The sequence below is a fragment of the Homo sapiens genome, chromosome 2, assembly GCF_000001405.40.
Source record: "Homo sapiens chromosome 2, GRCh38.p14 Primary Assembly".
Taxonomy (NCBI): domain Eukaryota; kingdom Metazoa; phylum Chordata; class Mammalia; order Primates; family Hominidae; genus Homo; species Homo sapiens.
The window spans coordinates 137,508,309-137,534,073 of NC_000002.12; the positions used below are offsets into that span (position 1 = coordinate 137,508,309).

A 25,765-nucleotide genomic window follows, 5' to 3' on the forward strand; every position below is an offset into this window, starting at 1 on the left:
GGCTCACTGCATTCTCAAACTCTTGGGCTCAAGTGATTCTCCTGCCAGGCTTCTGCTAAATAAAACAATTTTTTTTTTTTTTTTTTTTGAGACAGTCTCGCTGTGTCGCCCAGGCTGGAGTGCAGTGGCGGGATCTCTGCTCACTGCAAGCTCCGCCTCCCGGGTTCACGCCATTCTCCTGCCTCTGCCTCCCGAGTAGCTGGGACTACAGGCGCCTGCCACCATGCCCGGCTAATTTTTTTTTTTTTTTTTGTATTTTTTTAGTGGAGACGGGGTTTCACCATGTTAGCCAGGATGGTTTCAATCTCCTGACCTCGTGATCTGCCCGCCTCGGCCTTCCAAAGTGCTGGGATTACCGGCTAAATAAAACAATTTTAAACTAAATTAGTTAAGCTGGAGCTCATGTGTATAAATTGAGTCTCAGTACTCAATTTATGCCTGGGCAAGTGCTGCCCTGTCCCTTCTCAGGGAAACTTATGGGTTGGAGCACCCTCCTTTATAGAAAATACCCTGTGCCTAGAATCGTCCAGGGCCAGCAGTGTGGTCAGAGGAGAGACCTGAGCTGGACTTGGACCTGGAGCTAGATGGGAACCTGACCTGTTTTCTGCCTCAGGGCACTCTCCAACCTGCTGTTCTACCGTGCAGAGTTAAGCAGCGCTCCAAGAAGTTCCAAGGCTTACCACTATGAGGTCGTCCTGGGGCACCATGGGCAGGTTGACACTAATTCCTGAAGGCAACCTGGCCAGTGAATCATTCTCCCTGGCCAAAGCAGTATTTCTTTTTCAGAATCATATGAACGGTGCTGATACACTAATATTGCAGGACTCAAATTGTTTAAAGAGACAGGAGTCCACCAAATATATTTGTCCTGCACAACTTAATGATAGCCCTGTGTAGCCTAAGGTCACCTTCCTGTCTTTTTTTCTTTTCTTTTCTTTTTCCTTCCTTCCTTCCTTCTTTCCTTCCTTCCTTTCTTCCTTCCCTCCTTTCCTTCTTTCCTCTCTCTTTCTTTTCTCTTTCTTTCTTTCTTTTTCTCTTTCTTTCTCCTTCCTTCCTCCCTTCCTTTCTTCCTTTATTTATTTTGTATACCTTTATTTATTCACATTAAAATTTGGCCATTTTAAGTATACAGCAAGATATCTGTTTATTTATCTTAAACATTTTTTTCTCTCTTCTTTGGATTGGGTATTGATCTATATTGAATTTTATTTGTTTGGTCATTATCTGTATATTTTTAATTATTTGAACATATTTTCCTCTAATTCTTTGAACATATTTTCCTTAAATTTGAGAATATTTAGACTAGCTACTTGAAAGTCTTTGTCTGCTAAGTCCACTCCTAGTCAATTTCTACAGGCTGTTTTATTCCCATCTGTGCATTGGTAACTGAGTTTTGGCTACTACCAAAAGTTTTAGAACATTTCTATTATCCCCCAAATTTTCCCTGTGCCTCTTTGCAATCACTGCTGTGAAATAAAGGTGAAATAAAGACTGTGGTTAGAGGCTTAGATGTCTGTAATTGTTATAGGTTTATGATTGGTTATTCCCTTTTATCATTAAATATGAAATCTCTTTCTTTAATACATTTCATTTCTTGACGGCTATTTGATCTGGAATTGGTGTAGTCATTCTAGTTCTCTTTTATTTATTGTTCGTTTGGTTTTAACATTTTTTTCTCCCTTTATTTTCAACCTATTTATGTCTTTGCATTAGAATTATGTCTCTTGTTAATATTAAATAATTGGAGATTATTTTTTACATAGTCCAAAAATCTCTACTGCTGGATGTGTTTAGTGAATTCACATTTAATATAGTAATTGGTATGATTGGATTTAGATAAGGAATTTGATTACTTATTTTCTATTTCCGTCATTTATTTTTTATTCCTCTATTCTTTCTATCTTCGATGAATTTTAATAGCCATTTTACCCCCCTAGTTAAGTTTCAGCTATATTTATTTTTTAAAAGTGATTGCTATAGCGATTATAACATGCATCTTGAATTGATTATAATCTAATGGTAATTTACCCTGACTTCTGATAAAATGTGGGAATTTTGCACAAGTACGGGTCCATTTTCCCCCATTATTTTTGCATTGTCATGTATATTATATCTGTGCATTATAATATGCATTATAAACCCCCAAATATAGTATAACTTTGCTTCACACAATTCTAAATCTTAAAGAAGAAAGGAAATACATATGTGTGTGTATTTTATATATTTACACCATACTTACCATTTCTGATGCTCTTCATGTCTTCCAATGTAGATAAGTTAGCATTTGTGTTATTTTTCTTCCACCAAAGGACTTCTTTTAGTATGCTTTATAGTGCAATTCTCCTAGCAACAATTTTTTTTTAACTGTTAGCAATTTCAGTGTCTCCTTTGGCTTCCATTGTTTCTGAAGAGAATTCTGCCACTAATCATATAGTTTTCCTTTGTATATGATTTGTCATTTTTCTTTGGTTGCTTTTAAGATTTTCTCTTTATTTTTGGCTATTAGAAATTAGACCGTCATGTGTCCAGGTGCAGTCTCCTTTGTGTTTATACTATTCGGGGTTTGTTGAACTTCTTGATGCATTAGTTAATATTTTTCATGATTTGGAAGGGAGGTATACTAACTACTATGCCACATATACCTATACCTCAGTATTTGTCACCAATTTGGGAAGGTGTTGCCCATTTTAGTTAAAATATGGTTTTTCTCCTTTCTCTCTATCTTCTGTGACTCTAATTGTATGAGAGTTGGAATGCTTAATAGTGTGTCACAGATCTCTGTTTATTTATCTTAAACATTTTTTCCTCTCTCTTCTTTGGATTGGATATTGATCTGTTCTGAAGTTTATTTGTTTGATCTTTATCTGTATTTTTTATTATTTGAACATATTTAATTTTCTTTAATTCCTTGAATGTATTTTTCTTAAATTCGAGAATATTTGGAATACCTACTTGAAAGTCTCTGTCTGCTAAGTCCACACACTCCTAGTCAATTTCTACAGACTGTTTTATTCCCCTCTGTGCATGGATAACTTTTCTGTTTCTCTGCATGACTAGTAATTTTGTGAGAAACTAGACAATGGAGATGATATGATGCAGATGTTATGTTGCAGTTACTTTCATGTCAGTTTCAGGTCCCCCCTGCAACCAAAGGGTTGTTGTGTTTTTGTTTTAATAGGCAGTTAAGTTCCCTGGACGTAAGTGGAAAATCTGCTGCTCTGAAGGAGGCAGTCCTTGATATGTCCATTTAGTGTTTGATAGCCTGGTTCCCTTGTAGAGTTTCAGGGTCAGCCAATGACATACACAGAGGTTATGCTAACCTCTTACTTACTGGGTTAGGCTTACTGGCCCCATGCAGTAAGGCTTCCATCCTCTGCCACCCGAGCTGTTTGTTGGTTGGTAAATAGACTCAGAGACAACAAATCCTTAATTCCCCCTAGGCTTTCAGTCTTTACCTGGATCATTACTGTGCCTCACCTGCAGGGGAGTTTAGGAGTAAACTGAGGATGTATGGAGAGTTTATTATTTCAACCTTTTTACATTTCCCTAACTTCCAAAATTTTACACTTAAATTTCTTATTCCTTTGCCACCTGCCCTGAACTGAGTCTGCAAACACCAAATGTAAAGCTATTGGATTTTGCCACCCTATATGAAGCAGTAGGAATGTCCCAGCCAGTGGCCACAAAATCACTATTCTTACCTGATGAATTAGCAGGCTTCATGCACAAACAATGTTCAAATTGTTACCTGCCTTTTATCTTCTTTTGATGTCTGGAAATAATTATTTTGAATAATTTTGACCAATTTTAAACTTTTCTCCCATCCAAGTACTAACTAGGCCCAACCCTACTTAGCTTCCAAGATTAGATGAGATGGGTGTATTCAGGGTGATATGGCCATAGAGCAATTTTAAACTTGCTTTCTAAACAGTGTAATCACCCACATTTTCTATCAAGGCATTATTCAAAGTACAATTTTTTTCATTTTATTTTAAGGGATTTAAATCATTCATGGTATCAGAATATATGTAAGTTTTGTTTGTTTTTGAATGATTATTAGTTACATTTATTTCCTTTTTTTTTTTTTTTTTTTTTTTTTTTGAGACAAGGTCTTACTCTCTTGCCCAGCCTGGAGAGCAATGGCATAATCACAGCTCACTGCCGCCTTGACCTCCCAGGCTCAAGGGATCCTCCCACCTCAGCCTCCCGAGCAACTGTGACCACAGGCACGCACCACCACTCTCAGCTAATTTTTTGTATTATTTGTAGAGACAGGGTTTTGTCATGTTGCCCAGGACATATCTTGAACTCTTGAGCTCAAGTGATCTGTCTGCCTCAGCCTCCTGAAGTGCTGGGATTACAAGCGTAAGCCACCACGCTTGGCCTTATTCACTACTTTTAAAGGACCCTGAAAAGCCTATGAAAAAGATATCATGGATATAAAGATTAACTTATGTAGGTACAATTATAAATCCTTTACATGTAGTAATTCTTTTTATCCTCACAGCTAATACTTACCCCCATGAGGCAGTAATAATATTTTTCTCACTTTCCAGAAGAGTAAACTAAGCAGAAACAAGATGAATGACTTGCCCAAGGTCATCTACTCAGGATTTCAAGTTCAAGCAGAGTGGGATAATCACTTTGTATCATTAGAGAGGCAAACCTAAGATAATATCAAAAGTTATCAAGGACTGTCATTTACCTTCAAAGCAACACTACTGAAAACCTCCAAAGGGTGTACAATAAGGATCCCTGATATTTCCTAGTGTCTTCCTCAAACTTTATCGCATTAAATAACTCAGGTTCTCTAAGCCTTTGGGGCGTATTTGTCACTTTTTTAAACAATACTGTTTATTTCTCTAATTAATCCCCATATTTAACATAGTGAACCAGTGAAGAATAAAAAGCAGTAGGTTACATTGAGATTATGCACTAATTTGTTGAGACTGAGAATTTGGGGACAATAGGAAGTTTTACTGCGACACATATCTGAAAGGGCATAATAAAGTGAGTTGTTAAAAAATTAATTACATTGCTATAGGATTGATATTTTAATTGCAAGTAGAGGATTTGGAGAGAGTAGAATTCAGTATCATATGCAAATAAATCTAGGCTTGATCAATGAGGCATAAAAGGAAAGATAAAATCTTCTAATAATTTATGCTAGGAAAACTATTCTCCAAATACTGCAAAGTAGGCATACATATATTATATGCATTTTATAATTTGAAGTTTTTGATGATATACAGACACATAATAAATATAACAAAAATCTTCTAGTATATATTTGACCAAAAATAATTTAACTAAAATATGTAACCATTTCATTAAAAAAGTTATTATTATTTTTTTACTTTCTGTCTTATTTAGAGTATCTTAGAAAACAGATCCTGAGGTAGAGCTAGAGCTAGCACCGTGAGGATTATTCTGGAACCTGATTCTTATTCAGAAGTTGTCCAGACAACCAGGAGAGTTTGTGGATGAGGCAGCAGTGGAAGCTGGGAATCTCTATGAACAAAGCCTGAGTACGAGGAGACAGTGATATCCAGAGGGTCTGAGAGGAAATGTCAATTGTGCCAGACACACATACTTTGTGTCACTTCATTTATTTTTATAAGTTATAATTTTATATGCCTCAAAGTAGCAACACAGTTGCTTTCTATCTCTATGCCTCACTGCATTTCTCTTTTCTTGACCCTGTCTGTATTGATCTATTTCATTATCAACAGTATTTTCCCACTAGATATCAATTGAAAATTGATAAATTCCTTGAAATTGACCTTGCATCCTCTCTTACTGCCTATATATATGACAGTATATGTGATATGGTTGTGATGGTTAATACTGAGTGTCAACTTGATTGGATTGAAAGATGCAAACTACTGTTCCTGGGTGTATCTGTGAGGCTGTTGCCAAAGGAGATTAACATTTGAGTCAGTGGACTGGGAGAAGCAGACCCACCCTCAATCCGGGTGGGCACCATCTAATAAGCAGCCAGTGTGGCCAGAATAAAAGGCAGGCAGAAGAATGTGGAGAGATTAAACTGGCTTAGCCTCCCAGCCTCATCTTTCTCCTGTGCTGGATGCTTTCTGTCCTTGAACATTGGACTCCAAGTTCTTCAGCTTTGGGACTCGGACTGGCTTCCTTGCTCCTCAGCTTACAGATGGCCTATTGCGGGACCTTGTGATACTGTGAGTTAATACTCCTTAATAAACTCCCCTTTATATATATCTATCCTATTATTTCTGTCCCTCTAGAGAACTCTGACTAATATAGATTTTGGTACCAAGAGTGGTTCCAGAGGAACAGAATATTAAAGACAAAGTTCTTTTGTTGATTTTGGAGTTTCTGGAGTTGGCTGCTTAATATGATGAACCCAAAAATGTTAAGGACTCTACTTCTAATAGTATGGAGAACACTAATAGTCCTTGGTGTGAACTGTGTAGAGATTTATGCAAAATAAATGCATTTGACACTCCTGATTCACCACTCGTGAGAGTCAAGGTGTTTGGTGACTCTAAACATAATACCTTTGACTATATGTGGAGAACCAAGGAACATAATGAAGTTGGTTGGTTGCTCCTAAGTTCACTGGACAAAGTGATGAAAGAAAATGAAGAACACAGGGATTCTAACTCCCGGCTTCAGAAGCAAATACTGAACATCAAATCTGCTAAGATTGCCCTGAGTGAGAGTCTTATCTCCTGTAGAGAAAGCGCTGAAATTTTGGAACACCAGACACAACCTCTTATCATGCGAGTGGCTGACCTGCAATGAAAGGTGCATGCACAGCCTCACCAGGTGTCTACCGTTAAAGTGAGGACATTGACTGGAAAAGAATAGGACCCTGCGACTTGGAATGGGGATGTGTGGGAGGACCCTGATGAAGCTGGAGACTCTGAGTTTGTAAACTCTGGTTAACTTTTTTTGCCAGAAGAAACAGCTTCCCCATTCCCATTAGTGGCAACATCCCCTCCCGGTCCCATGCTGCCATCGCCTTTCCACCTTTGTCTGAAGTGATAAACCTTGCACTGCCTGAGGCAATAATGATGGCCTCCCCTGAGGCAGTTGCCAGACAAAACAATATTGATTCTCCTCAGGACCCTCCCCTAACACCCCTGTTTGCTTCTAGACCTATAACTAAACTAAAATCCCACCAGGCTCCTACAGGTGAGGTTCAGAGTGTGACCCACAAGGAGGTACATGCCACTTGAAAAGAACTACTTGAGTTTTCTAATTAATATAAGCAGAAATCTGGAGAACAGGAATGGGAATGGATATTAAGGGTGTGGAATGATGGTGGAAGGAACACAGAGTTGAATCAGGCTGAATTTATTTATTTGGGCCCACTAAGTAGGGATTCTGCATTTTATGTTGCAGCTCAGGGAGTTAAAAAAGTTTCTAATAATTTATTTCCTTGGTTAGCTGAAATATAGATTAAAGATGACTCACTGTGAGTGAGCTGGAAATGCCTAATCTCCCTTGGTTTAATGTAGAGGAAGGGATCCAAAGGCTGAAGGAGATTGAGATGGTAGAGTGGATTACTCACTCCAGACCTACTAATCGCAGCTGGGAGAGTCCAGAAGATATATCCTTGACCAATACTTATGAAATAGATTTGTGATGGCAGCACCTGCATCTTTGAGGAGGCCTGTAATTGCTCTTCTCTGCATGTCAGATCTAACAATGGGAACTGCAGTCACTCAACTACAACATTTAAATGCAATGGGAATAATTGGATCTCAAGTTGGCTAGGGCCAAGTGGCAGCACTCAACCAACAAAGGTAAGGTGGGTGTAGCTGCCATAATGGACAGCAGAGGCAAAGCAGCAGTTAGAATAGTCTGACTTGTGTAGAGCTCTGACATGGGCTAACTAATCACGGTGTTCCTAAAAGTGAAATTTGTAGGAAGTCTCCTGCATTCCTACTTAATTTATATAAGCAGAAAACTTGCAGGTCAAAAGACTAATTTGAATTCTAAAAACAGAGAATCACTGATCCTCAATCAATTTCCAGACTTGAACCAGTTTACATATCCAGAACTACTTGAATGAAGGAGAGACCAGGTCCCCTTGACGAAGGACCCCACTACATTACCAACAATTTACACTGTTAGTCTTTCTCTCATCCTTCCCCAAGGAGACCTCCAGCCTTTTACCAGGGTAACTGCACTGGGGAAAGGAAAATGATCAAGCATGTTGAGGACTACTGGACATTGGCTCTGAGCTGACCTTGATTTCAGGGGACCCAAAACGTCGTTGTGGTTCTCCAGTTAAAGTAGGGGCTTATGAAGGTCAGGTAATTTATGGAGTTTTAGCTCAGGTCTGACTTACAGTGGCTCCAGTGGGTCCACGGACTCATTCTGTGGTCATTTTCCCAGTGCCAGAATGCATAATTGCCATTGACATTTAGCAGCTGACAGAACCCCCACATTGGCTCCCTGACTAGTGGGGTGAGGGCAATGATGATGGGAAAGGCCAAATAAAAGCCATTAGAGCTGCCTCTACCTAGAAAAATAGTAAATAAAAACAATATTGTTTCTCCAAGGGATTGCGGAGATTAGTGCCACCATCAAGGACTTGAAAGATGCAGGGGTGGTGATTCCCACCACATCCCTGTTCAACTCTCCTATTTGAGCTGTGCAGAAGACAGATGGATCTTGGAGAATGACAGTGGATTATTGTAAGCTTAACCAAGTGGTGACTCCAATTGCAGCTGCTGTACCAATTGTGGTTTAATTGCTTGAGCAAATTAACACATCTCCTGGTACCCGTTATGCAGCCATTGACTTGGCAAATACGTTTTTCTCTATTCCTGTCCATAAGGCCAACCAGAAGCAATTTGCATTCTGCTGGCAAGGCCAGCAATATACCTTTACTGTCCTAGCTCAGGGGTATATCAACTCTCCAGCTTTGTGTCATGATCTTGTTTGAAGAGACCTTGATCACTTTGTGCTTCCACAAGATATCACACTGGTCCATTACATTAATGACACTATGCTGATTGGATCCAGTGAGCAAGAAGTAACAAACACACTGGACTTACTGGTAAATCATTTGCATGCCAGAGGATGGGAAATAAATCTGACTAAAATTCAGGGGCCTTCTACCTCAGTAAAATTTCTAGGGGTCTGGTGGTGTGAGGCCTGTTGAGATGTTCCTTCTAAGGTGAAGCATAAGTTACTGCATTTGGTCCCTCCTACAACTAAGAAAGAGGCATAATGTCTAGTGGGCCTATTTGAATTTTGGAGGCAACACATTCCTCATTTGAATGTGTTACTCCAGTCCATTTGTCGAGTGATCCAAAAGACTGCCAGTTTTGAGTGGGATCTAGAAGAGAAGAAGGCTCTGAAACAGGTCCAGCCTGCTGTGCAAGCTTCTCTGCCACTTGGGCCATATGACTCAGCATATCCAATGGTGCTGGAGGTATCAGTGGCAGATAGGGATGCTGTTTGGAGCCCTGGCAGGCCCCCATTGGTGAATCACAGTGGAGGCCTCTAGGATATTGGAGCAAGGCCCTGCCATCTTCTGCAGATAACTGCTCTCCTTTTGAAAGGCAGCTCTTGGCCTGTTACTGGGCTTTGGTGGAAACTGAATGTTTGACTGTGGGTCATCAAGTCACCATGCAACCTGAACTGCCTATCATGAACTGGGCGCTTTCTGACCCATCTAGCCATAAAGTGGGTCATGCACAGCAGCATTAAATCATCAAATGGAAGTGGTTGGGCTTCCATCAAATGGAAGTGGTTGGGCTCCCAATCACATATATATGTGATTGGGCTCAAGCAGTCCCGAAGGCACAAGTAAGTTACATGAGGAAGTGGCTGAAATGCCCATGGTCTCCACTCCTGCCACCCTGCCTTCTCTTCCCCAGCCTGCACTGATGGCCTCATGGGGAGTTCCCTATGATCAGTTGACAGAGGAAGAGAAGACCAGGGCCTGGTTCACAGATGATCCTGCACCACCCGAAAGTGGACAGCTGCAGCACTACAGCCCCTTTCCAGGACATCCCTGAAGGACAGTGGTGAAGGGAAGTCTTCCCAGTGGGCAGAATTTCAAGCACTGTGCCTGGTTGTGCACTTTGCATGGAAGGAGAAATGGCCAGATGTGTGATTACATACTGATTCATGGGCTGTAGCCAATGGTTTGGCCGGTTGGTCAGGGATGTGGAAGAAGCACGATTGGAAAATTGGTGACCAAAAAATTTGGCGATGAGGTATGTGGATGGAACTCTCTGAGTAGTCAAAAACTGTGAAGATATTTGTATCCTATATGAGTGCTCACCAACGGGTGACCTCAGCAAAGGAGGATTTAAATAATCAAGTGGATAGGATGACCTGTTCTGTGGACACCACTCATCCTTTTTCCCCAGCCACCCCTGTCATTGCCCAATGGGCCCATGACCACAGTGGCCATTGTGGCAGGGATGGAGGTTACGCATGGGCTCAGCAACGTGGACTTCCACTCACCAAAACTGACATGGCTACGGCCACTCCTGAGTGCCCAATTTGCCAGCAGCATAAACCAACACTGAGCCTTCGATATGGCACCATTCCTCAGGGTGATCGGCCAGCTACTTGGTGGCAGGTTGATTATATTGGACCTCTTCCATCATGGAAAGGGCAGAGGTTTGTCCTCACTGGAAAAGGGGAAAGGGGCTGGGCACGGTGGCTCACGCCTGTAATCCCAGCACTTTGGGAGGCCAAGGCAGGTGGATCACGAGGTCAGGAGTTCAAGACCAGCCTGGCTAATATGGTGAAACCCCATCTCTACTAAAAAATACAAGAATTAGCCGGGAGTGGTGTGGTGGCGTGCGCCTATAGTCCCAGCTAGTCAAGAGGGTGAGGCAGGAGAATCACTTGAACCCAGGAGGTGGAGGTTGCAGTGAGCTGAGATTGCGCCACTGCACTCTAGCCTGGCAAGAGAGTGAGACTCCATCTCAAAATAAATAAATAAATAAATAAATAGAAAAAGGAAAAGGCCATTATTATTCAGATATGAGCAAGATGTTGCCATCTCTGGACTGATGTCCATAAGAGTTTTCTTGCCACTAATATTATTAGAACAGTTATTTTCAATACTGCTGAAACCATGGCAGGTGGTATGAGCAAGAGCTGTTGTTCCTTCACCTGGTAGAACTGCTAACTGCTGATTCTAAAATGCTTCATTAGCAGAACTTGGGCTCCCACTGCTGCTATCACTATAGGAGGGTTCATCAGAAACAGAATGTCTCACTTCTTACTGGTTTTCATTTTGGCGTAACTACTTCAGACTGGCAGAATATGATCAGCAACTTGCTAGCCAGAAAAGCTGCAAATAATAGTTTGCAGGTTTCTAGCCCTAACAGTTTGAAGGTGAATATAGAAGGACAAGTCTGGGGCTGAGGCTTAATAAGGAAATGTCTAACATATTAAGAGGAAACAAAAACTAAAGCATCTGTCATCAGGTAGGGATCTTACTGGTCCTATTTTTATACATGTAAACTTTCTTATAATTTCACATTCTTCTTAGAATTCATTGATAAATACTTAAAATATAAGAAAAACAACTTTATTTGATCACTGGGGCTTTAAAAGGAAACATATCTCAGAGAATGAGTGAATCGCAGCAAGAGAATATAAAGTTTTCAGTACCTGTTACTATTTCCTTTCTGACGTGGAAAGAAAGCTAAACACATGAAGACGAAGAGCCCTGAGGCATGGAGAATAATGTCACAGGGACATCGTGAGAGAGATGCTAAAAGGTAAAGACTTCCCATTTTATTGTCCAATGCCCTTAATAATTTAATAGTTGTGTAAAAAAGCTCTGGACTTGGAATTAGGATGCATTTCTGTTTTTGTTTTTTTCACATTTGTTGGGTGGCAGTAGGAATAAATTAGTTTACAGAGAGTGGGCTTCCCTTCTACAGAGGAAAAAAAAGCTCTTGGATTCATTAATTCTTTTTAGGTTTTGTCCAGCTTTATTGTTCTGTTTCATGAAAATGGATGATGATGATAATGATAATGATGATGACAATTTGTATAACGAATAGAATTGAATTTTTATTGAATGCTAACCATATGCCAGAAACTAGGATAAGCACTCTGTATATATAATGACAACCATCGTTAATGTATTTAAAGCACCTGCATTTAACAGAAGAGAAAATTAGGCATAAGTGAACTAGTTACTCTCCTTATGTGTGTATAGCTGAATGCAGACCTAAAACTAATTCTCAGTGCTTCGTTAAAAGCACTAAATTTATAAGAGAAAGATGCCCATAAATGCTGGATATATTTTATGTCCAAAGATTCTTGGGTAGACACTGCTACAGTAGGAGTGCTCGTAAGAATGACAAGCTCTTCAATTGCTTTCTTTCTTTTTATCAGTCCATTCACTTGCTGCCCTTTGGCATAAGGTACTTTTATCTTCAGCATCCCTGGAGCACAGTATATGCACTAGGAAACCAATAAACATGGCAACATTCAACATTAAATTGCAATTACATATTACTTCTTTCATAATGCTAGAGCATGATGAAATTTCTACAAATTACATTTCATAATTTAATATGCTGGATGAATCATGATTCGTGCTTAAAAATCATTAGCAGTTGAATTTTTAACACTCTTCAAGTTGTTTGAAAGTTGTGTTTAGTGAACCATTGTGGGTGAACTCTTTGGTCAGACAAAAGGAAAATATAAGGCTTCCTAATTTCTCTGACCTGAGGTGGGGTTGGGGATTGGGTTAGAGCTGTTTTTGCTGCTTGGTAGTATCACCGGAGCAGGTGTAAAATTGCTATAGAGGCAGAGTCATTTGGGCATTGCCAGGGAGATTATTATGTTATTTGTATCAATTTTTGGGTGAGAAAGAGCTGATCCAGAGATTTGAGCACTCTGTCCCCACCCCAGATTATGAGATTCTATAGTCCTTACTTAATAGGTATGTTATCTCAATTCGTTTTCACAGCACTTTTCTTAAAAATAAAACAAAACAGATATTTGTTGAGCTGTCCTTCTGGGTCAGCCTTTGTAGTGGGGAGGGGGGGCTGTGACTACAGACATCAGTGAGACCATCACTGTCATTAAATGAAGCTTGTACACTCATGGGTAGAGAGATCTGTAAATAAATTGTAATAAGTCATGTGGAGTGCAGCACACCTTCATCTAAGGAAAAAAAGCCCATAGGAAGGAAAAATCTCCCCCATCCCTCTTTTTCTTCTCATTGGACCCTTTCTCTTCTTGTTGGACTCTTTCTCTTGCCCATTAGTTCATCTCTCACTGGTGGGCTTTACTGGTACAGGGGAATAAAGTTGTTAGTGTCTCAACCCTGTTTGTTTTCTATGATCAGAGCATGGTTGGAAGAAGTGGAGATGCCAGCTGGCAAAGCCACTTCTGGTAGATCAGGGACAGTAGAGGGGACACTGGCATCTGGCTGGCTTTTGAGACTTCTCTGACAATCTGTCTCCCTGTAGAGCAGGAGTGCTTCTTAGCATATGGTCACCATGTCACATGGCAGAGCATCAGAGGGCCTGTCAGTCAGAGAATGTCCACATAACAGGGCAGACTGTGCTGGCATGCATCCCTCAGCTGTTGAGTAACCTCTCAGCTGTTGAGTAACCTTACTCCATGTTCTGCATGATTTTTTAGCACAAGATACCCAGTGTTCGAATCCCTCCTTGTAGGGGTATCACAAAGGAAAATCCCACAAGACCTCCTTGGTTCTGTGCTTTGTAAATGTGGACAACTTCCCAGATGGAGATAAACTACCCTTTCTTCTGAACTCAGCCTGAGAACTGCATGGGCTAGGCTGTCTTTTTCTCAGGTTTGAATCAGCTCAGATAAACTCTTCTTGGTGCACTAGCCAGGACTCCCCATGAGTGCTCTATAGTGAACCCTTCAAATGCTTCTCTCTGTGTGTAGTCTTAAGAGTCCTACCAGAGTCCCTTGTAGACTGCATGTGTTTTCCAGAGGGATAGTGTAGAAATGGCATCAAGCTGTAAAAGACAAGTTTAATTCCCAGCTTTGCGCTTGTTTCTTTTGTAACATGAGTGAGTCACTTAATGTCTCAATGTATTTATCTTAAAATTAGAATGATAATCCAGAAATTCCACAGAGTTGTGACTGCCTTGCATGCATGTCTTTCTTCCCTTTTAGCACATTTCTTGACACAAAGGAGGTGCTTGATGAATGTTTCTTGAATGAATTGCTGGTGAGGGAAAGAAAGCAATTCAGAGTCACTTTTTTTTTTTTCTTTTCCTTTTTCTTGGAATGGAGAGGGAAGAGTAAATGTGAGGGAACTGTGGAATTTCTTCTCAGTTAGAAACCTTAGTTGCAGCTCCTCTTGCTCTGGACTTTCCTTTGCATTATTTTATTGACATTGTCATAAATCCAGCTCCATTCGAGCAAAGTTTTGTAGCAAATCTACCTTCTACTTAAATGAGAACAAAGCAGATTTTGATTAGAAATCTCTCAGCAGAGCAGAACAGGGCACTTAGGAATTATATGCTGTGACACAGTATACACTTATACCAGATAAATCATTTCTGCATTGAAGACTCTGCCAGTTACCACCATTTGTGCTGGGTGATTGCATTCAAGCTAGTTGTTTACCTGCCTGATGGCAAAGATTGCATCTCATTCATCTTTAAATATCTCTAATGGATGGTGGAGGACTTTCCACATAGTGGTTACTAAACAGACATGTATGTTTTGAATGAATACACTTGAAGATTGTTATTGACGTTGTAAAGGCCACAACGTAAAAATGCTGCAAGGAGTCATGTACTTTTCTTAGACCAATGTGATGGTATAAATATTATTTCATATGCACAGTTGTAGAAATGGACTAGGCATATAATCAGTGTTCTGATTATAGGTTGCAGTTATTTTGTTAATAGCTTCTTCTGTCATTAATTCAAAATTCAATTTTTGCCACATCAATTTTATTTGCTCATATAGTCTTCAGATGTTTTTCCTGTGCTCATGCTATTTCTCCATGCAATTTTCACATTTCCAAGCCCAGAAACCTCTGTTTCTTCTCACATTTGGAGTTTACCACAGTCTGCAATCATGCATTTGTTTTAGAGGTTAGGAGAAACTTATATATTACTGAATCCAATCCCACATTTTCTTGGGACATTCTGTTACTTTGTGTATTCATACAGAAAAGGAAGGGAACTGGAAGAATTGATATGAGAAATGTCATTTTCAAACTATGCTTTGGTAAGTTTCCCATGTCACTGAAAATTTTCAAGAGCAATTTGAGAAACTTGGAGTATATGACAGACACAATTGGTTGCATACTCAATAATTGTCTGCCCAATAGCCATTCTTTTTTCCATTCCCTTTTTCATGCTCGTAGAACCAAAATGTATTCAGTCAGGTATGTGCCCACTTCCACTGATTTAGTCAAGATGGGTCTGAGCTGGTCATGGTTACTCCACTGTGCTGTTTCATGACCTAGTTCTTGCCATCCCCACTTATAGATCTCTGGGGCACACTCTTTTTTAAGCTCTGGGATGGATCTCAGACACCATCTATTTTTTTCCTAAGATCATTATATGATTCTAAATGTGAAGCCATGGTTGAAAACCACTGCTGCAGCATATTCTGAACAAATAGGTCCTCAACACATGACTTTTAGTTAAAAATACAGTGAGGGGATTTAATTTTATATAAAAGTAGTTTAATGGATTTTTTTTCCATTAAAATACAAATCAATTTCTGGATTTCTACCAACTCTTTTTATAGTCTACTAAGTGAAACTGCATATGTGTTTACTGCATTGAAACCCCAACAATGACAACAACAGAAAGTCCTGCTGCTTTGAGTTTTGTAGCCTGTCAAAATGTCAAAAGGGTTGGCATCAAGACCTCATTTTAAATGAATGCCTTGTGGTATAAATAAGATATTCAGTAAGCCACTGGAAAATCTCAAGTTTGCTTGGGGAGGCTTTGCCGTTAGCCTCCCCAAGCAAAGAGCTATTTCCCAACTCATGAAGAAATTCGTCATGTGGAACTGCCTCCTCACCGTCTCTGCCATGGGCCACTGGAAATCACTGCTTGGCTGGCAGAGCACAGGGCCCTCTGCAGGTTAGAGCTTACTGTTCATTTTTCTTCCTTTCCTGTTCACCAATATTTTTGGGTCTAAGCTATTTTGGAGTACAAAGTGCTTCTTCCCCTCCCGACATAGTCTGGGAGAGAAATATCTGCATTTTTTTTATAGGTGATGGCTGCATCCTTGTTTATGTTTGCCAAACTAATGTTACAGAGTCAACTGCCGTGAATAAATGTTGGAAAAGAAAGAGTCCCAACTCTGAAGGAACTTAGGTTTTGCTTTGTTTTGTAAATATCAATTATGCAGAAAAAAGATGTGTGTTCATAAGGTCAGGAAATTGATGTGCACTGGTCTGAGTCTTCTAAACTGAGGTTATTCTTACATGGGACAACCTTAAGACTGTTCTTAGGATGAATATTCCATGGATATGTACCTGTCCAGCTCACCAGCTGTTCTCCCTGTGATTGTGAGTGACTTTTCTCAGTGGTGGATATCAGACATTCAGGTGGCTGAATATTTTGAATGTCATCACTGCTGTAGAATTTGTATCCACTTGCATTGTGGCTAGCATTGCTTGGCATTTTGCTATTCACTCTCTTTTTCATGTATGTTGGCAGCTAGATGGGAGACAATAAGGAGAGGCCGTGCTTCATGTTTTGTGAGGTCGTTGTTGGTGTGCCTTTTTTTGTTGGTTGGTTGGTGTTTAATTTACTTTTCTCACAATGGTGGCACAATCTTTGACATTTAGTTCAAAATAAATATTTGCTGTTTGGCTAAGAGGTTCAAAGCACCAAGGGTAGTGGAACCACACATGAATATTGTGTTCACACAAACAGTATACTCAAAACAGATGGTGTCTGATCATGGACTGCTGCAGAAAAAATAGAAACCAAACACCATGCACAATTTCTAGCTGTCTCTTTCTGACCCCAGAGATCACAGTTTATTCTAACTCTTAGAATCCCAAGGGAGAATCACTGCCCCAGATCATAACTGAGGTCGGAGCTGCTAGCTCCTAGGTAGCTGCAAACCTCTCTTTATTTTGACAGGCAGTTTATGAGCATCCCTTCAGTGTACATTTGATGAGGCAAACCCTTTTCCAAAAGCTAGTTACTTATACTTATTTATCCATTTCCCAGCCACTATAATTCTCTCTTCTCTTGAAATTCCTGACTGCTACTCAGGAATACATTTTAAAATATGCTGTCATTATGGAGCTTAAGTAGTGTTTTGCATCTGTAATTTGTTATGTTGATCGATGTGAGCCACATTTTGAACATAATAATGCAATTTCATTTGTTTAAATATCATTAATAACAGTATTTCATAATGTACTATGCTTAAAAATGGAAATATTATAGTCAGAAAGTGTAGCAATGAATGAGAAGAAAGCTGGAGATCAAAGAGCTGCTGGTGAGTTCACACATTTATAAGTGTTTAATGAGTCAGAGGGGGCTGAATAGGTAAGTGGCTATGTAACCAAATGACTCCCTCTGTTCCTATCTCTTAATGTAGTCATACATCCCCATTTAGGAGCCACATAAAAGCTAGCTTCACCCAGCCCTTGTCACAGTTGGTATGCCAGCCAGCCCCTTTCCTCCTTAGCCTGGAAGTGTCTCTTCTCTTGTCCCTGGGTCTTTGTTTCCTTGCCATGACTCTTCAGCTGCAGATATCTCACCTAGCCAGCCCCTCCCAGGCTGACAGCCACTTGGTTTGTTATCTCTGCTGCTCTTCTCCCTCCTTCCCCTGGTTTTACTACTCTTACTGCTTGGAGAGAGGCAGAGAGAGAGCCATGTCCCGTACCACTTCTACCTGGCCGATTTCAATAGGATACTGGGCTACTGGGTACATTCCCTTCCTTTTCATCTAAAAGGATTGAGCAAAATCAACTTTTTGAAAAGTAAAATATTAACCTACAACATGACTTATTATATTAAGTCCATTTATTAATATTTGTAAGATATGGTGCTAGGGGCTGAGAATGCAAAGCTGTGCCCTCAATGAGTTTTCAGTTTATGGAGAATTAAACTAAATTTTCTTTAAGTTTAGGGTTTGTTGTTGTTGTTGTTGTTGTTGTTTGTTTGTTTGTTTTTGAGAGAGAATCTCGCTCTGTCACCTAGGCTGGAGTGCAGTGGTGCAATCTCATCTCACTGCAACCTCTGCCTCCTAGGTTCAAGCAATTCTCCTGTCTCAGCCTCCTGAGTAGCTGGGGCCACAGGTGCGTACCACCACATCCCACTAACTTTTTTGTATTTTTAGTAGAGACAGGGTTTTGCCATGTTGGCCAGGCTGGTCTCGAAATCCTGACCTCAGGTGATCCATCCACCTTAGCCTCCCAAAGTGCTGGGATTACAGGCATGAGCCACCACACCCAGCCAGTTTAATTAGTTTTTATTTATGTAATTAACTTTATTATTATGGTATTAATAATAAATGTGGTGCACAGTGATAAATGTTTTGAATAAGAGGGTATTGGCCTATAGAGGGGAGGTGTCTTGGAGGTTTGAACTGTGCCTTGAAGAATGAGCAGGTTGAAAATTAACACATGTACTCAAGAGAACATAAAATATCACCAAAGAGGAAAATCCTCAGAAATTTTGTACCGCTTATCCAATCCGTAACAAACCACTGAGGAGATAAGTCAGCAAAACCTTCTACCTTCCTTAGAGAAATGAATAATTTTGGAAAGGGAATGAAAAGATATGAATTGCTGGAAGGAAGTATTGATTAAAGGATTAAAATAACCAGTGTACTTTAGCTGAAGAATGACTGTGGCTATATGTGCACACAAATTAAAGTTTAAAACAAGCATTTTAATTTGATTGAACAGTGGATTATTTTGAAAAGAAAATAAAAGAATTCAGTCAGTTGCAAAACAGAATAATCTTATTTGAATAGATTTAATCCATATCAAGAAAATTGCCTTGTAGAAATTGGGGTGCGTGTGTGTATATGTACATATGTGTGTGTGCATGTGTATAAAAACCATCTAAAAACAGATTTCCTGCTAGAATAAATTTTCATTTGTCCAGAGGTGTGTCCTAAGGAAATACAGAAATCTGGAAAAGTATCACCTAATTCATCAATGAGTATAATTGATTCTGTCATAATAATAAAAAGCCAAGGTCAGTTACCTTGCTCCATTTTTTTAGCTGAACATTGTGGTTATTTGCTAGCATTGCTCCCTCCATTTTGAAACTCCTTTTTTTGTACCATCAATTAAATTTTATTTTGAAGAATCATGTGTCCCTCATTTGAAGTCTATGACATTTGGGTGGTGTTGACTCTGTGCTTGATCCAAAGGTAAACATTAGGCTCCCACATAGACAATCAGCATGAGTTGCCCTGGCTGCAAAGTGAACTTAGGGATAGATCTGTGACCCAAGAAGGACTGCAATGGGTCATTGAAAGAGATTAGAAAAAAGAAAAGTGCTGTCTTCCATTGAACTTGAATTTTGGAGGATATTAGGACAGCACTCTGGAGCAAGCCATTTTGCCAGGACCAGTGAAAGTTAACATGGAGATGACAAACAGAAAGCAACCAAGAGATAAGAAAGGAAAAACTGGATTCTAGAGTCATTATTTTTGTTTCCTGAATCAATTAATTCCTAGAGCCTACCATGAACTTTTCAGCCGTAAGAATCAATAAATTCCCCCTTTGCTTCAATCAGCTGGGCTTGAGTTTTTGTCACTTACAATAGAAATAACATTGATACACACTTGATTGGATTCTTGTATTTCTTAACTTCAATTACATCAAATTGATGTTCAATTTTGTTGAACCTAAAATTGTGCCCAATCTTGTTGGCCCAAAATTGATGTTTGTTGTATTTCGTTGTGCCCAAAATTGGGGTTTGTTGTGTTTCATTGTATAGTTTGGAAGTTACATTGCAGATATTTGGAAAGGAAGCATGATGAAGGAGGAGGAGTCAGACAGCCCTAGACTTTAATTTCCACTTCTATCATGCATGCATTGGATAACTGCTGCCATGTCATTTCAACCCTCTGAACATTTGTTTCCTCATCTGTTAAGTACAGATAGTAATGACTACCTCACTGGATTTTTTATGAGGCGCATGTGGGACAATATGTTTAGCAATAGAAGAATAATAACTGCTGGAATATTGTAAATTAAACACATGATATTTCAGTGCCTTTACTTATAGATCACTCAGGTACAATCTTGATTTATGCAAACCTAGTAGCAACTAACTAAATTAATCTGTTTGTAATCATTATCATTAAAACTGACATTCCTTGCCTGATCTAGTGCCAAAACCTCCTAGAAGTGGGCTAGCCATCCCACACTGCCTTTTCAATAATTCCCTTAGATTTCCTGTTTGCATACAGAGGCATTTCTCACAGTTTCATCTGAGGACAACTTGTATCAGAATCACTAGAGATGTTGAAAATAAAAATTCCAAGACTCCATTGTATATTTACTGCGTTAGCCTCAGTAGGAGCTTCTGACCTGCCAGAGTCCTTGACCTGCTTGTACGTAGGATAGAGAACACACTGATTGGCATGGTATGCAAAGCTCTTCTCAGTCTGGTGCTTCGCAGACTCATCTTTCTATCAACTGCATTCTAGCCACACCAAAAGTTCTTGGCATTCCTTGAGCATACAATCCTCTTTAATCATTAAATTTTCATACATGTAATTATTTTCACTTGAAAAATCTTTCTCTTTACCTTTTGGCAAACTACTACTTATGGCTAGTGATAGGGAGATATTAAATCTTCCAGGATCTTCCACTTCATGGAGACAGTACTTTCCCTTTCTAAGGCACATTTCATTTAATGAATTATTTGCTTTACGTGACTGTTAACTGCCTCTCCTCTCCCACTTTTTCCTCTGGACTATGGGCAATCTAGATATGATCATTATTATTTAATGAGGTACTCTGTGGATATTTGTTGAATAAATACATGAATGAAAGAATGAATGATTCATTGTGACAAGCATTGGGAATACAATGATACAAAGGCAAGGTAGAGATTTTCAAGGCAGTCAGGGAACTAGCTCTTTCACCTAAAATTTATTTTAAAATATAAGGGCTCTATGTGCTAAGGGACTAATGATTGTCCCAAAGATAAAGGCTTTAGTGCATAGGGAGGCCTCATAAAGAAGGTAAGGGAGGAGTTGAACCTTGAAAGAGAAGAATAAGCAAACATTAGAGTTAGGCAAATATCGTGTAGAATGTTCATGGAATCTGGATAGTTTAAGGGATTTAGAATCCTTCTAAGAATCTTTTTTTTTTTTTTTAAAGGACATCCAGAGTGTACTTGTGTTCAGAGAGACCATAGAAAACTTCAGAAAAAGGAAATTCAAATGGAAAGTTTAAGCTTTTTAATAAGATTATGGTTAAAAAAATCATCAGAAGAATTAAACTGCCCTTTAGATATTATACCTGTCTTCCCTGCTGAGATTGAGATGAGTAATGAGAGTAGGGACATCTGGGTTTGTAGTGTGACCTCTAACTACATGTCAGCACTTAGAGAAGTGTCCTCCCATGTATTTGAAATTTAAGTGACAAGCGGATGATGATTCAATTAACATTAAAAGGGAGAGAAAATGCCTTTTAAGTAGCATGTGGGAAAAATTAAGTGCAAAGGAGCCTTTTAATTTTTTTTGGTTCCTCCACATATTGACTGTTAATTGAAAAACAGTTATTGTTAATACCACAACATGTTCTTGAGTACATCTGGGCGAATTAGAACTTGAAAGCTGTGCAGGCCTAATGAAAAAAATCAGCATTCTACTATTGCTCTAGCAATCAGCTATTGAGATGTGCGTGCCTCATTGAGGCTTTGCAAAAGTTAATTGTTGACTAAGCAATACGTAGAGAAGCTCTAGGGATCCAACATGAGTAAATCATGTTTATAACTGGAAAATTGAACGTTTCATGGATTTATATGAAACATATGTTTCTTTTACCATTAGGATGCCTCATACCTCTATTAAATCATTTATGAGATTTTCATGGGGTCTTGCATGACATAGCTAAATGACCTATCAGGCCCACCATGTTTCTCAATGACAGGGTACATACTCCATACTGTAGCCCCTGCAAATGGTGTCACTGGAAAACAACTGAAATGGGACTAAACCACAATATAAATGATACTTCCTGGATTTGTAAAATGACCCTTGAAATGACAACAAAATAGAGCTTCAAGTCAGCTTGGTCATCAGCCTTACTTGGGTAATCATGCTGTTTTAGCACAGCCTGTCTCGTTTAGAGAGACAGGAAGTTGAACTGTGAAGGGCACACAACTGCAGGCAAAATTGGAAGTGCTAAAGGGGCAGTGTTATGGGGTGTTCTGGGGATAGCTGTCATAGGCTTGATCTCAGGGGCTTGAATGCCGAAGCAGAACTCTAGGAGACCTAGAAAGAGAAAACAGGGTTCTGTGAAACACAAAGTGGACTAAAGCATATGCAAACAAGTGTAGTACCTCTTACTAGAATTGTGATAAGTGACAAGGCTTGACTTCACAAGGATTATAGCATGAGCTGAGTTGTTGGAATTAGGATACAGAGGAGTGCAGGCATCATTGGTCCTTGAATTCCAATATATAATCATCTAGATTAAAGAGAACTTAACATTGATCAGTTCTCGAATATCTAAACACACAATCTTTGGGATGCATTTTCTGTCACTACAAAGCATTTTCGTAGCCTACATCTTTCTGTTGTTAAATGGTGTGTTTAAAAATTACAAACCCATTGCTATGCGGACAGAAAATAAAATAAAATCATAGTAAACAGGCTCACTCTAGTAGGGATAATATAAGCATTGTATTCTAAAGCAGTAAAAGTTGGCCTTGTAAGGCACACACGCTGCTTCCTGTGAAGAATAGCACTCAATTAATAATAGTTGCATTGCTTGGTCTTCAAGATCAGTAAAGCAGTCTTATCAGAGTGTGATGTTTTCTACAATTAATCATGGCAATTAGGCTTAATACTGAATTCAAGAAAATATTCTGACACTGATGCCCTTGACACATCGTTTTGTTGAGCAAAGTAAGGATATGATTCGAGTCCACAATGATTAAGCATAGAGGTAGCACTCAGGGTGAGAACTGTTAGTTTGAAATTCAGTTCTCAAGCACCTGAAACCCAGCAGCACTCTCATTTAATGAAATTTTTATGAAAGCTTACTTTCATATCTTATCTTCTGCTCTAGAGTTTTTTAAGCAGTAAAATTGCATGGAAATTTATATAATTATACCTTTAATTACCTAATAATTGGGGTAATTAACCAAGGGCTCCCTTAGGAGGATGCAACTGACCAGTTACACCTGCAGTTAGCTAATTTCAGGTGCTATGATTTCTGCATACAAATTTTTACACCTGCAGTTAACTGCAAGGGCTAGAGGTAAACTTAAGACAAAGGCATCTGTGTGACCCTTTCCCCTTAATGCTCATGTGCTTTATACCACTACCTAGTATCTAATGCTTAATTAAGCAGTGTTTTAAGGTCTTAGTAGGTAAAGTGTCTTCCTGGAGTGACATGGAAAATTTGGGTGAGTTGTGGTATTTTGCTCACAGAATATCAAGTAGTATTCCTCACAGGAGGAATGAGCACAAGTCTGGGGCTCATAGCCAAATAGAGATAATTAGCCTTCTACAATATAAACAGAGAGAGTGTATTTGACTAAGTAAGGTGTATTTGAAAGGGAGAGTTACACATTGTAACTGTTTTTAGAGTTGAATGTTAAAGAAGTGAATTCTAACTTACCAAGTTAATTGCGTAACATGATAATATTGAGAACACAGTAGGAGTTCAATAAATGTTTGGGGAATGAAAGAACATGCCTTGCAATTACTTTAGGACAATTCTGAATCTGAATCTTGGGAATTCAGTAGAGCCATCTTGATCAAATGTATTATGGTAGTTCTTCTGTATATCAAATGCCAATAAAGGATGTTTTTCTAAATACATAAAGCTATTACTGACTTGATTCCTAAAACAGAAATTCTTTGATCTTTGGTACTACTAATCATTGAAGAAACTGGAAAAAAATCTAGTTATAGAAAAGGCAAAACTTTAGATTGAGAAAAAAAGAATTATTCTAGATTATTCTGTTTCTCTGTGTTTTGTAACTCATTAAATTCCTACAAAACAAATTTAATTTAGATTTAATTTGATGGGATCATAGCCCTTAGGGAAAAATTAACATCTTTGAGATAAGATTTCCGTATTATAGAGTGCAAAAAATTAAATGATTTGCTATAAATGATTAAACTACTTGGTTATGGAATAGAGATAAAACATGTTATTCATGTCCCTCGGAGTTTGTTTCAAGATTCAGAGTATAGTTGGCTGTCTCTTTGCATCTTTGTTTCTCTTTCTAATTCTTTCTCTGTTGTAATCTGCAGGGCTTTATGATCCCACTTTTAAGTTTTTAATAATGAATAATTTAGAAATTCTGTAATAATATAAAACAAACCTGTAAACTAGCCAGTGAGTGACCATATAGGTAAAAGTCACAGTTATTAGGATAAGTATATATATTTTATATGAGCAAATAATGTGTGGCTATATGCATATATATGTATACATATATGCATAGATATATACACATACCATACATATATATACCATACATTTATGTATCTATATCTATATACATTCTGTCTGTATCTATGTATCTATGTAATATTCCTTATGTGATATGTAATAGGTAATATTATTTATATATAAATAATGTTATACATATGCATAATGAAATAATATATTTTCTTAACAATGTAGCTTAGAAATATTAGAGAAGCCAAAATATATTTGTTTTCATTTAAATCACCAAACTGCGTTTGAGTATAAATAATTCCCTATTGCTAAATTAATTTTTTCAGATTAAATCATTTCTGACTCATTCCTCTCGTATCAGAAATGTTCCAGTTCTCTATAACGTGCCTCTCCAGGATTGTTTCCCATAGGAAATAAGTCGAATACAGAGTAAATCCTGTTATTTCTACTCTGGTTAAATCTCTCCTCTCTATAATTACATGAGAGACAACTTCTTTATCATATTATTTTATTAGGTTTCAGACTCACCTAAAATTAATAACTGCATTACTCCTCCTTCAACTCAATACTCTACTTATTAAAAAAACTTCAACTATTCTGACATTTAGCAAGAAGGTAGCAAAATAGTTGGAGTATTTGTTGTTATTATTGTTTTGTTGTTTTGCTTTGTTTGTTTTAGATCTTCCATTCTTACATAGGCTTTGTTTAGTGACCTAGTCCAATGATATGCAAAACATTGCATTGCAAATGTTATATAAATAACTCTTCAAAAGAAGAAAACAATTATTCCCTAAATAGATTATTATATTTGTTTTAATGTAGTCATAGCATGTGAGCCCTTAGCCTGGGCTGCCACTGACAGGGCTTTCTGGGTTATTGAGATTTCAGCAAGTTGCATATGATTAAAAGGACTCTCAGAACCAGCAATTTGCCTCTGAAAATGTTGTTTGCTTGGCTGCTTGATTGATACCCTCTCTTATTACATAAAAGCACAATAAAAACTTTGACTAAACAATTAATTTGGCAACTACAATCTTAGGGGCTTTCTCTCTGTAATATTGGTTGTTTATTCCAATATCCTTTAAAAAAGTATTTATTAAATAACTGCCCGTGCACATGTATGTGTGTGTGTGTGCGCGCACACACACACACACACACACACACAGACTTCCTTTAACTGATGGGAAAGAGCTT

The 25,765-nt window shown here is 38.6% G+C and overlaps 1 protein-coding gene and 1 pseudogene across 2 annotated transcripts in view; one reads left to right on the forward strand and one right to left on the reverse strand.

Annotated features, from left to right (window-relative positions):
• THSD7B (thrombospondin type 1 domain containing 7B) overlaps positions 1-25,765 on the forward strand; it is a 912,174-nt gene that overhangs the window by 742,764 nt on the left and 143,645 nt on the right. The window lies entirely within an intron of this gene.
• On the reverse strand, positions 3,790-3,902 carry RNA5SP105 (RNA, 5S ribosomal pseudogene 105; annotated as a pseudogene).